This window comes from Homo sapiens, chromosome 5, assembly GCF_000001405.40.
Source record: "Homo sapiens chromosome 5, GRCh38.p14 Primary Assembly".
Taxonomy (NCBI): domain Eukaryota; kingdom Metazoa; phylum Chordata; class Mammalia; order Primates; family Hominidae; genus Homo; species Homo sapiens.
The window spans coordinates 96,154,970-96,170,569 of record NC_000005.10 but is presented as its reverse complement, the minus strand read 5'-3'; the positions used below and the strand labels follow the sequence as shown (position 1 = coordinate 96,170,569).

At 39.1% G+C, this 15,600-nt stretch overlaps 1 protein-coding gene and 2 long non-coding RNA genes across 15 annotated transcripts in view, besides 1 other annotated feature; 1 reads left to right on the top strand and 2 right to left on the bottom strand.

The window, feature by feature from the left end:
• Window positions 1-15,600, bottom strand: part of CAST (calpastatin) — an 813,255-nt gene that overhangs the window by 604,114 nt on the left and 193,541 nt on the right. The window lies entirely within an intron of this gene.
• LOC101929710 (uncharacterized) overlaps window positions 1-15,600 on the bottom strand; it is a 669,085-nt gene that overhangs the window by 460,516 nt on the left and 192,969 nt on the right. The window lies entirely within an intron of this gene.
• LOC105379675 (uncharacterized) lies at window positions 313-5,050 on the top strand. The gene is made up of 2 exons (XR_001742452.2): window positions 313-498; window positions 4,411-5,050. It is a non-coding gene; the product is annotated as an uncharacterized LOC105379675 (long non-coding RNA).
• Window positions 2,010-2,555: an enhancer, noted in NCBI's record as "OCT4-NANOG hESC enhancer chr5:95503719-95504264 (GRCh37/hg19 assembly coordinates)". NCBI's record gives its function as "activates a minimal SCP1, AML or CMV promoter by ChIP-STARR-seq in primed H9 embryonic stem cells {active_cell/tissue: H9 hESC(primed)}" and the evidence as "EXISTENCE:reporter gene assay evidence [ECO:0000049][PMID:30033119]".

Below are 15,600 nucleotides of genomic sequence, written 5' to 3'. Positions count from 1 at the left end.
CTCCAAAAATTAAATTCCAGCCCTCAAACCCCATAATAGCACTTAATTAACCTCGCTTTCAAGGTATACAATAATACAGTTGAGGCAGCCAAGTAGCAATGTATTTCTGAGTTGCAATTCCTTGCCTCCACTGTGAGACAAACCCCAGCCACATCTCCAGCACACAAGAACTCCAAACGCCTGAACCACAGCTGCCAGGGGTTCCTCCAGAACCTCCTCCCGCAGCTTGCTACAAGTGCCAGAAATCTGGCCACTGGGCCAAGGAATGCCGGCAGCCCGGGATTCCTCCTAAGTCGTGTCCCATCTGTGCAGGACCCCACTGTTCAACTCACCTGGCAGCCACTCCCAGAGCCCCTGGAACTCTGGCCCAAGGCTCTCTGACTGACTCCTTCCCAGATTTACTCGGCTTAGCGGCTGAAGACCGATGCTGCCCGATTGCCTCGGAAGCCCCCTAGACCATCACGGACGCCAAGCTTTGGGTAACTCTCACAGTGGAGGGTAAGTCCATACCCTTCTTAATCAATACAGAGGCTACCCACTCCACATTACCTTCTTTTCAAGGGCCTTGTTCCTTTGCCTCCATAACTGTTGTGGGTATTGACGGCCAGGCTTCTAAACCTCTTAAAACTCCCCAACTCTGGTGCCAACTTAGACAATACTCTTTTAAGCACTCCTTTTAATTATCCCCACCTGCCCAGCTCCCTTATTAGGTCAAAACATTTTAACTAAATTATCTGCTTCCCTGACTATTCCTGGGCTACAGCCACACCTCATTGTCTCCTTTTTCACCAATTCAAAGCCTCCTTGACATCCTCCCCTTGTATCTCCCCAACTTAAACCACAAATATAGCACACCTCTATTCCCTCCTTGGTGACCGATCATGCACCCCTTACCATCCCATTAAAACCTAATCACCCTTACCCCACTCAACGCCAATATCCCATCCCACAGCACGCTTTAAAAGGATTAAAGCCTGTTATCACTCGCCTGCTACAGCATGGGCTTCTAAAACCTATAAACTCTCCTTACAATTCCCCCATTTTACCTGTCCAAAAACCGGACAAGTCTTACAAGTTAGTTCAGGATCTGCACCTTATCAACCAAATTGTTTTGCCTACCCACCCCATGGTGCCAAACCCATATACTCTCCTATCCTCAATACCTCCCTCCACAACCCATTATTCTGTTCTGGATCCCAAACATGCTTTCTTTACTATTCCTTTGCACCCTTCATCCCAGCCTCTCTTCGCTTTCAGTTGGACTGACCCTGACACCCATCAGGCTCAGCAAATTACCTGGGCTGTACTGCTGCAAGGCTTCACAGACAGCCCCCATTATCTCAGTCAAGCCCAAATTTCATCCTCATCTGTTACCTATCTCGGCATAATTCTCATAAAAACACACGTGCTCTCCCTGCTGCTCGTGTCCGGCTAATCTCCCAAACCCCAATCCCTTCTACAAAACAACAACTCCTTTCCTTCCTAGGTATGGTTAGTGCAGTCAGAATTCTTACACAAGAGCCGGGACCGCGCCCTGTAGCCTTTTTATGCAAACAACTTGACCTTACTGTTTTAGCCTAGCCCTCATGTCTGCGTGTGGTGGCTGCTGCTCCTTAATACTTTTAGAGGCCCTCAAAATCACAAACTATGCTCAATTAACTCTCTACAATTCTCATAACTTTCAAAATCTATTTTCTTCCTCCCACCTGACACATATACTTTTTGCTTCCCAGCTCCTTCAGCTATACTCACTCTTTGTTGAGTCTCCCACAATTACCATTGTTCCTGGCCCGGACTTTAATCGAGCCTCACACATTATTCCGGATACCACACCTGACCCCCATGACTGTATCTCTCTAATCCACCTGACATTCACCCCATTTCCCCATATTTCCTTCTTTCCTGTTTCTCACCCTGATCACATTTGGATTATTGATGGCAGTTCCACCAGGCCTAATCGCCACTCACCAGCAAAGGCAAGCTATGCTATAGTATCTTCCACATCTATCATTGAGGCTACCGCTCTGCCCCGCTCCACTACCTCTTAGCAAGCTGAACTCATTGCCTCAACTCAAGCCCTCACTCTTGCAAAGGAATTACGCGTCAATATTTATACTGACTCTAAATATGCCTTCTATGTCCTGCACCACCATGCTGTTGTATAGGCAGAAAGAGGTTTCCTCACTACACAAGGGTCCTCCATCATTAATGCCTCTTTAATAAAAACACTTCTCAAGGCCAATTTACTTCCAAAGGAAGCTGGAGTCATTCACTGCAAGGGCCATCAAAAGGCATCAGATCCCATTGCTCAGGACAATGCTTACGCTGATAAGGTAGCTAAAAGCAGCTAGCGTTCCAACTTCTATCCCTCATGGCAGTTTTTCTCCTTCTCATCTGGCCACTCCCACCTACTCCCCCACTGAAACTTCCACCTATCAATCTCTTCTCACACAAGGCAAATGGTTCTTGGACCAAGGAAAATATCTCCTTCCAGCCTCACAGGCCCATTCTATTCTGTCATCATTTCATAACTTCTTCTATGTAAGTTACAAGCCACTAGCCCACCTCTTAGAACCTCTCATTTCCTTCCCATGGTGGAAATCTATCCTTAAGGAAATCACTTCTCAGTGTTCCATCTGCTATTCTACTACTCCTCAGGGATTGTTCAGGCCCCCCCACCCACTTCCCTACACATGAAGCTCGGGCATTTGGCCCCGCCCAGGACCGGCAAATTGACTTTACTCACATGCCTCGAGTTAGGAAACTAAAATACCTCTTGGTCTGGGTAGACACTTTCACTGGATGGGTAGAGGCCTTTCCCACAGGGTCTGAGAAGGCCACCGCCGTCATTTCTTCCCTTCTGTCAGACAGAATTCCTCAGTTTGGCCTTCCCACCTCTATACAGTCTGATAATGGACCAACCTTTATTAGTCAAATCACCCAAGCAGTTTTTCAGGCTCTTGGTATTCAGTGAACTAATGGTCTTTTAAAAACACACCTCACCAAGCTCAGCCACCAACTTAAAGAGGACTGGACAATACTTTTACCACTTGCCCTTCTCAGAATTCGGGCCTGTCCTTGGAATGCTACAGGGTACAGCCCATTTGAGCTCCTGCATGGACACTCCTTTTTATTAGGCCCCAGTCTCATCCCAGACACCAGACCAACTTGGACTGCGCCCCAAAAAACTTGTCATCCCTACTATCTTCTGTCTAGTCATACACCTATTCACCATTCTCAACTACACATAAATGCCCTGCTCTTGTTTACACTGCCGGTTTACACTGTTTCTCCAAGCCATCACAGCTGATATCTCCCAGTGCTATCCCCAAACCAGCACTCTTAACTCTTAAAGTAAATAAATAATCTTTGCTGGCAGGGCTATGCTGAAGCTCCTTGGGCACTCTAATTGGATGTCCTGGGTCCTCCCAATTCTTAGTACTTTAATACCTGTTTCTCTCCTTCTCTTATTCCTTTTAGGTTTTCAATTCATACAAAACCGTATCCAGGCCATCACCAATAATTCTGTATGACAAATGTTTCTTCCAACAACCCCACAATATCGCCCCTTACCACAAAACCTTCCTTCAGCTTAATCTCTCCCACTCTAGGTTCCCAAGCCGCTCGTAATCCCACTGGAAGCAGCCCTGAGAAGCATCGCCCCTTATCTCTCCAAACATTTTCACCACCCCAACACTTTACCACTATTTTGTTTTATTTTTCTTATTAATATAAGAAGACATGGACTACTATATAACACCCAAAATTATGTCTATTAATTTCTTGGAAATCTGAATTCATGAGTGAGGATAGGAAGTTTGGGTCCTGTATGATCCAGCTTCTTGGGTGTGCTATTCAAATGAACCTCATGATTGCCAAGGCTATGCTTCAATTGATTATCTAGATTTGTATATTCATTAGACATTTTTCTCCAAATTTTTTCAAAATAAACATAATTATAAATTCAATCATTAAATATGATTATAGCTGGGAAGCTTTATTTAATAAGAAAAGCTACCTGGAGCACTTAAATCAGTTATTTGCTGTGATGGTCCCTGGATGGTGTTTCTGTATCCTGGGACACAGAAACCGAGATGTGAGCTGAAGGGCACACACACTGCTGCAGGGATGGGCAGATGCATTGGTGTGCTGAAGTAGGCTCATTCTGGCCCATGAGGGCTGACTGTTAAATTTTCAGGAATTTTGCAAACCTGTTGTTAAATACTTCTGTTATTAAAAATTAAGTTAGATAAACTTGCAACTATATTAATGATATTTAAAATGAAGGTATTAAATTATCAGAAAATTAAAATAAAGGTACTACCTACTTAAAACATCATTTCCTAATTATTTTACTACATTTACTGTGGTCTGTGCTCTTGAGTTTATTCACATCTGTTTTATCTGCAGGGGGGAAACACTGTGGACTGGCATGCTGCTGGCCACCACTTCCCAGCTGAAGACTCAGGAGCGCCATGTGGAAGAACTCATCTCACAGATATTGGCAAAAGCTACCAAGCAGGACTTGATTTATTGTTTTGTTCATTGTCTAGACTAAGAAAGTGATGAAATGTTAATAATGGATAATGATTAATGAAATGGATAATGAAAATGAAAAATAATTAATGTAAATTAAATGTGAAAGTGTGTCCTACTTGTAGCTGTTATACTGTGAATAACTTTAAGAAGAAACCTTAGTAAATATTCCTCCAGTTTTCAAAAATTATTTTCTAGTTCGGCAAAGAAGTCATTCACATCACTGATAAATGAATGAAGTTCTAACAGATGTCTTTATTGATTCACTTTTATTTTATTTGTTAACATAAATGAAAATACAGGTGATGTTCATGTCAGAACACTTTCATCAAATGCAACCACAGTTTGGCTATGAATATAGAAGCCTGGCAAAAATCAATAAAAGCAGTCTGTGAGAATCAATTGATTATAAGGAATTTCCAATAAAGAATATTATATATGTTGTTACTTGTAAATAGCATGATATACCTTCTTTATATCAGAAAAGTTTATAATAAAGTTATGTGTGTATGTATATATATGCATTTTTTTTCTTTACCAACATACCATTGGGTAGTTATTCAGCAGGGAAAAAGAAGAAATTATACCCCAGTACTTTCTAAAAGCACAAATACAGTGGATTCTTATGTTTTGCAACTCTTTAAAGTTCTTAATACTTTTCCACATGGACTTTTCTGGTTTAAACTCCATCCTTAGTCTATCTACCCCTCTGCACACATATATCCTCCCTAATAAAAAAAGGCACTCAGCTCAGCTGTGGCTAAGGCTCCAGCTCTATCCCCCTTCTCTATTCCATTTGTCTTCTCTTTTCAAGGCCCCAAAGACACTGTCATTTTAGCTAGTGGGAAAAAAAAAGACTAAGGAATCTGCCGAGGTGTCATGTCAGATTCCACTGCTGCATTCTCCCCTCCTGTCCCCCACTTATCTGACCGCTCTCGGAGGCCTCACTTCCTCCTCAGCCACTTCTAATCTTCTCAAAATCAAAATATTTACAAATATAACCATCAAATGACAGCTCTTCAGTATAGAATAATGTATATAACCATCTCTTCCCAGAATTCCCATTCTTCACGTTCCACCCCACTACCAAGGCTGCCTTCTCCTTCCCTCACCTTTCCCATGCCAGGCTCTGCACGATTCCAGAATCATTGCCAGTACCATTCCCAGTACTTCCACCTAACCCACTGAATCAGTCTAAAAAGAGAAAGAAGAAAAGGAAAATATTAGATCTAGGCTTATGGCATTTATTTGCATTCTTGGCCAACCCAGGGCATAACTGTAACCCATCAAAGTTACACTTTTTTTCTCTGCACTTTTTCTCTCTGCACGCTTCCCTTCTGTACTCTGGTTGCTCATGAACCTCACTAACACAACGTTCAGGCTATTATAGGGCAGAGACTATATCTGTCTTGTTCTCTTCTATATCCCTATTGCCTGGCACAGAGTGGGTATTCAATAAATGTTTGCGAACTGATTGTTGACCATCAGTCAACTGTCTTCCTCATCTTACTTTGCAGTGCCTCCTCCAGCAAATCTTACTCCTTATGGGTTCCATTATTTCAGATTCTGCCAGTGACAGGCTAGACAGACTAATTATCCAAACTGAAGCCAAAATGAGGCTGCACCCAGAATATAGCTTCTCTTTAACTCAAAGGAAAGAGTACTTTAGCTCTGTCCCTTTGATTTCAGTTGACACTTTCTACTTTGTGTTACATTTATAAGTGAATATGTCTCATCTCTCATACATTTCTGTGAACAGAGATTGACATATTTGCTTTTATTCTTTCTATTCTTTCTTTACGTACAACATACCTTGTATATAAATGTACATAAATAGACACATGTGTATGTATGTGTGCATATTTTTTCCTCCCCAAAACATATGTATGTGAGAGAGAGCGTAGAGAACAGAGTGAAAAATACATATTAATATTTTTCAGCCAATGACAATTAAGTGCTTACTATTGAAGTCAGGCACTAGTCTCAGTGTTTTTTTTTCATGTACCAATTCATCTAATTCTTACAACAATCCTATGAGTTAATATAATGTCATTATGCCCATTTTACAGATGAAGAAACAGAGATACTAAGTAATGTGCCCATTGTTAAATACCTTATAAGCAGCAGAGCTGGAATTCAAACCCACAGAGTTGGCAGTGACCCTACATAGTGACCATGTTGTTCATGTTACATCTGATCCTCGCAACAGTTTTATGGGGTAGGCAGACACCATTCTGCCAGAGAAAATGGGGACTAGGAAAATTAAGTAACTTACACAAGATTGCATTGTAGGTAAGGAACAATCCCAGTAATGGCCATGAATACTGTGACCCCAAATTTGGTACTAAGGATGTCCTAAGTCTTGATACCTGATTGGATTTCAGGCCCAGTGGCTGGGCAATAGAAATCTACTGTTAAAAACAATATCCTTTTACATTTCCAGTGGCATTATTCAGAAAGTAATCTAGCTATATCTATTAAAATTAAAAATATAGAAAAATCCCACTTCATAAATCTGCACTGAAGAATTTTAAGTATCAGAACATAAGAATATACAAACAAAGATATTTATTATGGTATTAACTGCAATACCAAGAAATTGGAAACAGCCTGAATGTCTGTCAATAGCTAAATAGTAATTATGGAATAGAAAAAGAATAGAGAAGATCGACAAAATCAAAAGTTGGTTCTTTTAAAAGGTCAATGAAATTTTAGCTAGACTGACAGGAAAACTTTAGCTGGACTGACAGAAAAAAAGAAAGAACATGCAAATTATTAAAATCAGGAATGAAAGCAGAAACATCACTACTGATCCTCTAGAAATAAAAAGGATTATAAGAGAAGACAATGTACAACTGAATGCCAACAAATGAGATATCCTAGATTAAATGGACAAATTCCTAGAAAAACAGAAACTAACAAAACTGGCTCAAGAAGCAGAAAATCTGAATAAACCTATAAAAAGGAAAGATGTTGAATTAGTAATTTAAAAGCTACCCTCAAAGAAAAGCCCAGTAGAATTCACCGCTGAATTCTACTAAACATTGAAATTAAAACTGAAACTTGCAAACTCTTCTGAAAAATAGAAGAAAAATAAACATTTCTTAACTCATTACAAGAGACCAATATTATCCTAATTATAAAACCAGACCAAATGTCATAAGACATGAAAACTATAAACCAATATCGCTTATCAATATAGACACAAAAATCATCAACAAATATTAACAAACCAAATCAGAGCAATATATTAAAAAGGGTTATACACCATGATAAACTATCCCAAGAATAGAAAGATGATGTAACATTAAAATCAGGCCGGGTGCAGTGGCTCATGCCTGTAATCACAGTACTTTGGGAAGCTGAGGCGGATGGATTACCTCGGGTCAGGAGTTCGAGATCAGCCTGGCCAACATGGTGAAACAGCGTCTCTACTAAAAATACAAAAATTAGCCAGGTGTGGTGGCACACGCCTGTAATCCCAGCTACTCAGGAGGCTAAGGCAGGAGAATTGCTTGAACCCGGGAGGCAGAAGTTGCAGTGAGCCAAGATCACCCCACTGCACTCCAGCCTGGGCGACAGAGCAAGACACTGTCTCAAAAAACAAACAAACAAACAAACAATATACCATCCCGTGCTAGTAGAATGAAGTAGAAAAATCACATGATCATCGCAATAAATGTAGGAAAAGCATTCTATAAAAATTCTACATCTTTCATGACAAAAAATATTCAACAAGGTAATGAAATGAGACTTTCTCAAAATGATAAATGGCACCTAGGAAAAACCTATAGCTAATATCATAATTTATGATACAAGACTGAATGCTTTACTCCCAACAGCAGGAACAAGACATGGATGTTGGCTCCTACCACTTCTATCCAACATTGTACTAGAGGTTCTAGCCAGAACAATTAGGCAGAAAAAGAAACCAAAAAGCATCTATATTGGAAAAGAAGAAGTGTAAGTTCTCTGTTTACAGATAAGATGATCTTGTATACAGAAAATCCAAAGGCATCCACAAGAGAAGCATTGGAACTAATACATAAGTTTAGTAGATTGCAGGATATAATATCAATACACAAAAATCAATCGTATTTCTATCTGCTAGCAATGAACAATTGAAAAATAAAATTAAGAAAACAATTCTATTTACAATAACATCCAAAAGAATAAAATACCTAGGAATAAGTTTCACAAAAGAAGAGCAAGATTTGCACTTCAAACACTACAATGCATTGTTGAAAGAAATTAAAGACATAAATAAGTGAAAAGATATCCTATGTTCATAGATCAGAAAACTTAATATTATTAGGATAGCAACACTCCACAAGTTGATCTACAGATTCAATACAATCCCTATCAAAACTTCAGCTGTCTTCTTGTAGAAATTGGCAAGGTGATCCTAAATTCATATGGAAATGCAAGAACAGCCAAAACAATCTTGAAAAAGAACAAAGTAGGACTCATACCTCCTGCTTTTAAAATTTACTATAACGTTACAGTAAGCAAAACAGTGTGGTACTGGCATAAGAGCAGACTATAGATCAACAGAATAGAATTGAGGATTCAGCTATAAATCATTTTTTTATGGTTGGTTAGTTTTCAACAGAGGTGCCAAGATCATTTAATAAAGAAAGAATAATATTTTCAACAAACGGTTCTGGAACAATATATAAAGAACTTTTACAACTCAACAATATGCACATGTAAAAGAATGAAGTTGGACCACCTACCACACTTTATGTACAAAATTTAACTCAAAATAGAAAACTGGCCTAATTATAAGAGCTAAAACTATAAAACTCTTTAGATGAAAACAAAGGAGGAAATCTTCATGACCTTAGTTTAGGCAGTGGTTTCTTAGGTATGACATCAACAGACAGCACAAGAGATAGAAGAAAAAATAAATTGGTCTTCACAAATTTAAAAAATTTTGAGCTTCAAAGGACACCATCAATAAAGTGAAAAAACAACATACAGAAAGGTAAACAATATTTGCAAATCATAGATCTGCAAAGGGACTTATACCCAGAATATATAAAGGGCTCTTACAATTCAATAATAAATAGACAACCCAAGTAAAAGATGGGCAAATTATTGTAATTAACAGGCAGTTCTCCAAAGAAAATATACAAATGACCAATAAGCACATACAAAATGCTCATCATTAATCATTGGGGGAAATACCAATCTAACCCACAGTGAGATAGACACCACTTCACACCCAGTAGGGTGAATATTATAAGAAAGACAGAAAATAAGTGTTAATGAAGATATGGAGAAATTAGAACCTTCACACACTGCTATTAGGATTGTAAAATGTTGTAACTACTTAGGGAAACAGTTTGGCAGTTCCTAAAAATGTTAAATATAGGGTTACCATATGGTACAGCAATTCCACTCCTAGGTAAATGCCCAGAAGACTTGAAAACATATGTGTACTCAAAACTTGAACATAATGTTTACAGCAGCAGTATTCATAATAGCCAAAAAGTGAAAACAACCTAAAAGTATATCGGTAGATGAATGAATAGACAAAATGTTGTATATTCATACAATGGAATATTATTCAGCCATAACAAGGAATAAAGTACTGATACTTGCTACAACATGGATGAACCTTGAAATCATTATGCTAAGTGAATGAAGTCAGACATAAGGCTACATGTTGTATGAGTCTGGTTATGTTAAATGTTCAGGACATGCAAATCCATGCAAACAGAAGGTAATCTGGTGGCTACCAGGGGCTGAAGAGAGGGGAATGGAGAGTGACTGCTAACAGAGAGGGGGTTTCATTTTTGGGCGGTGAGATGTTCCAAAATTATATAGTGGTGATGGCTGTATGACTCTGTGAATATACTAAAGGCCATTTACATTTTTTTTTTTCTTTTGCGACGAGTCTTGCTCTGTTCTCCCAGGCTGGAGTGCAGTGGTGCAATCTTGGCTCACTGCAACCTCTGCCTCCCAGGTTCAAGTGATTCTCATGCCTCAGGCTCCCAAGTAGCTTGGATTACAGGTGCATGCCACCATGCCCGGCTAATTTTTGATTTTTTTTTTTTTTTTAGTAGAGACAGGTTTCATCATGTTGGCTAGGCTGCTCTCGAACTGACCTCAAGTGATCTGCCCGCCTCAGCCTCCCAAAGTGCTGGGATTACAGGTGTGAGCCCATTTACATTTTAAAAGGGTGAATTGTATGGTATGTGAATTACAGCTAGATAAAGCTGTTATTTTTAAAACAAACAAACAGCTTCTCCATTCAAAAAGCAAAAAATAAAAATAAAACATAAAATAGTGGACTAAATGGTAATACACAAAAATAGTGAAGTATATCTACTGGACTAAAGAAAGGTTATGCTGAGTCTAAAAAAAATTAAGTTTATACAGTAATGTGTATTTTATCCTATTTCCATAAAGTAAAAAACAAAAATCTGCATTATATAAACTTAATCTGCCTGTATATGTTTGTATGAGTATGGGGAAGGGCTGAACAAATAGCAGAAGAGGACACTGCTTTCCTCAAGATGGGGTGAAGGGAAGTTACTAGCTTTTTCTTTGTACATCGTTTCATCATTTTGCTTTATACAACTTTGCGTTGTTTGACCTATAAAAAGTCACTTTTATAATTTAAAAATTCCAATATAGACAAGTTAATACGGAGAAAATAGCATTTTAAGGAGAGTCACCTACTGTCCCCACAGGTAAGGCTAGTCCTGCCCACTCTGGCACCATCCCAGCATGAGGAGGGAGGGTGTCCAGGAGAGGGTGTTGACTCACAGCCTCCCAAATACTCAGGCTGTAAAGAGTTAAGGATGCAAATGCCTTGACCATATCTGTATCATCTCTGCTTAGTCCTGAACATGCTGTGAGCATTTCATTAGCATTTTAAAAAGGACAGTATACTTCCCACAGTGGAATTTTATGACTTAAAATTTTTCTTTTTAAGCCTAAAGGAAAATCTACATCAAATTCCAGGGGGCTCCTAGACTTCTGCCTTTTTCCAGTTTGAGCACACCTGGCAAGCAAAATAGCTGGCTTGAACAAAAGAGGGTCACAAAATGCAATATCACTAGTGTTGCTAAGTCAATTTCAGCATTAATCATATAATCAGGGTAATTAACCTAACTTTTAACATACAAACTGTGGCATAAAAGAAATAAAAACTGGTATTTATTCTATATTCTTCTTACCAAGGGCAGCATTACCCACTTAAGATAGTGCTGGCAATCATTTTCATGAAATACACATTTATCAATTTTTCATGGGAAATCTCCCCTTGTGTTTAGCCACAGCATCCACATCTGATGCCAATGCCTACTGCACATTAGCATTTTCTAGATGACAAACATAAAGCACCTTTTACAAATAAAGTGTCAAATATGTTCTCACCAATGTTATCATACAATATCCCCAAGGGAAAGGAGACTGCTGTGCAGAACTGATACTTGCCTGGAACAGAAATAAATATAAGATTCTTGAGTTTTCATTTCCTTTATAATTACTGTCCTCCCCCCGACTTTAATCATATTATTATAGATCTTTAAATATATTATCTAGTGAGTAAAAAACTCTGGTTCTGAAAGCAAATGAAATGATGGTGAGGGTGGCATAGAGATGCAGTTATTAAAAACTGGTTAAACAAGGATCCTCCTAGCATTTCAGATGGCTAAAGAAGCAATCAAAGGCTGTTGCTGACAGACACAGATTGCATGATAAAAAAGAATAAAAGGCATCAGAATAAAATTTGCTGTAAGTCTTCCCTGGATTAGTCTGTGCTTACAAATTAAAAATCCATGACTGACTCTTTTCATGGTCTCTCCTCTCTTTGCTTAGTCATAAGTCTTTCCAGGATACAGATTGGATATGGGTGGCTGTCTAGGTGTGGTAGGATCTTATTACATGGTAGTTTGCATTGTTAGGCCAGTTTTAGTGTTGGGTTTTTTTGTGTGTGTTTGTTTGTTTTCTGGTTTGTTTTGGGGGGGTGTAAGGGGGGCACTGGAATTACATTCCAAGAGCTGTAGTTTGTTTCTTTTGTGTGACTTTCACCCTGGGAAAACCAACAGAATAAAGATCATACACGGAACAAATGGGAGACTTCCTTGATCAAAATCTATTCTTCAGACGAATGTTTATTACCACTGCTAAGCCCTAAATCTACGTGCTTGAATAAAGAAAACATTTAACATAATCAGCTTATGGTATGTTTACAGGATGTGACATTTTGATTTGTATTTTTTGTACATCTAGTTCTTTAAACACCACAGCTTGGACACACAGTTTTGAAAAATCAAACAAAGATTTTTAAAATAATGCAATCAAGGAAAGTGAGAAGGCCAATTGCTGGCTAATTGGGCTAAAAATTATTGAACTCAGCTCTCAGCTGAGGTTCTTTTTATGAATAATTCCGTTGCTAACAGTTTCACGATTCTAATGTGTAACCAGCCCCTTGCTTCAGGTATGCTGTGGGTGTGGCATTCCACAGTGCACCTGGACACACTGTAAGGGAGATCTATGCTAGGAAAGATAGTAAGGACACCACACCTTTAGTGCCAGTGAGTATACTTTTGTCTTTGAGGAGTTTTCTAAAAAAGGTTTTTCCAAATCCACAACATCTGTGGTCAAAATTAGGTCAGGTTTCTCCAACTTAGACAACATCCTTTTGGAAGATTTGCCAAATTAAATCCTATTATCCAAATTATAAAGCTGGAGGATCTTAGAAATCATCTAGTCCAACCACTTCCTTTACAGATGAGATCACCAGGGCCCGTGGATGTTGACTGGCTTGCTAGTGATCACACAGGTGGGGCAAACCCAGACAAAACTCCGAGGCTTTCTGGTCCAAAAAACTCAATTAATCAAAGGGCTGTATTAAAAACAGGGAATACATTGTTTTAAATTCTTGACCTTGACAGTTTAATAAATCTGTTCAGAGAAAAAAAATAAACCTAAGACAGTGTAAATCACAAATAACTATTTAAAAAACAATTCAAAATACAACAGAAGATTTGTCACAAGGTAATACACAAATTTCCAAATGAACTATATAAAGTTTTATAACATATATTATTTTAATAGGAAATGTGTGAACATAAGACTTAAGTAGTCAAATAATTTTTATGGATAGAGGAGTTTGACCAAAAAAGTTTACAGACCTTTGCTGTAGGCAGTTCAAAGGCACCCTAAAAACTGGGTCTGGAGGGATTTTGCCCCCTGGGGGAACTTTGAAAAGATATCCGAGAAACTTTAGTCAATTCATCAAATGGCATAATCAAATGGTGGGTAATAAGTTTATTTATCTAGTCCATGATTATGTTTAATTTTTGGAGTTCGTAAAGAGACACAACCAAGATCAGAGGGTGAGTTGAAACACTTTATTTCTTCAATGCCAACATGCTTAATTATTTCTCCCTAATTGGAGCTCAAATTTAGGGAGTTATTTGAAGATTATTCATCTTCTAAATTACATACAACTTTCTTTTTCTCAGAAGTTTGTACCATTTTCTAAACATTCATATTCCTCCTCTAAATTGGGTGGAAGAAATAGGATCACCCATCTTATACTAAAGAGATGCATGTAATTTTATGCAAGGATGTCATAGGGACCAAATGAAAGTAATAGAAGAGATGCTTTCTACTGGTCTCCTTTGAAGACTGAATTAGGAAAAACCCTACTACAGATACATTCCAATCAGTCAGTTCTGAAAAAAATAATGTGCTGCCCAGGGCTCATACCACATCGTGAATTACCCCTAAGCCCATAATGGTATAGGCTCTTAGGACTAAAGGGTAAGTCTGAAGAGCAACAAACCAATCAGGTCACTGTTGCCCTAATTAAATGAATGTCCTCTTGGGGCCTCAGCAAGTGATTCCAAAGTTGGAAAGTCAGCCTGAGAGTGTGTAATTAATATGTCAGTAATGACTGTGAAGGCTGGGGCTTAATTCTGGAAGGCTCCCACGTTCAATACGATATAAAATACACTTGAAAATGATTTACTTTCCGCATAGGTTAAAATAGCAAAAGGCTTCGAGAAGGTTGGTGAATAGCTGCTGTCCTCTGCTATTGCAGGGCCCCTCCCCATCCTTCAGTGAGGCCCCCTCCCTTTAGGACTCTCTCTACCTAAAGGGTAGGGCCTGGCACAAGACCTGGCTGCAGCTCTAGGGCATAGACTGTGAGATCTTGGACTATTACCACTGGGTAGAAGCAAGTTGCAGAAGCCATAGAGAGACCACATAGGAGCAAGGATTGAATAACAATAAAAATCCTAAGAGGGTCTCACATAGCTGGGAGGGGAGAAGGGAGAGGAGAGGTGAGGAGAAATGGGACTCAGTCTGAGATTGTGTGGGAAGTAGAGCTGCCTAGGAGTGGGTATGGAGCACCTCAGAGGAAGGTGAGAACGTAGGAAAATGCAGTGGGTCCCCTGGTGACGCTGTGTGAGCCCCAGGCATGAACCTCCTAGATTTCCATCGGAACATATCCCCCAGTCCTAACTAATACCAATGTAAGAGTTTCCATGAAAATGCATGTTTAAAAAGGCCTGACAAATGCATAAAAGGGAAATTTTGTTTTCTATTTTAAAATGTATACTCAACTTGGCCATCACTGTATTTCCCAGTATTTCCCTTCAGGCTGAATTTGTTATGAAGGTGTGGAAGCAGCCAAACATACTTCTTGTGTAGGAATGTCTGGCCAAGCCATGCATGATGGGCGGGGACCATCCAGGGCTCTGGGAAACAGGAGTGCTCTCTAGGCTGCCATTATCCCTGCCTACTAGTCCCTGTGATTCTCTCTTATTATAAGGAATTGTCAGTCTCTTCTGTCACCAGCGTGGTACAGTGGGTGAAAGCACATTGTAAGAATTTTAAAATTTAGATATAATGCTGGCTCTGGCCCATAATCCCTTATTCACAACACCAAAACTTTAAAAGAAAAAAGAAAATATTTCCTAACCTGATGGCAGCAAAACCTGACCCTTGGGGAAAAAGAGATCCATCTCCCATGCAGAAGAATTTGGAATAACTTACATAAGTATTCTGCACTCCAGGAGGTGAAAATAGCTCCCCACT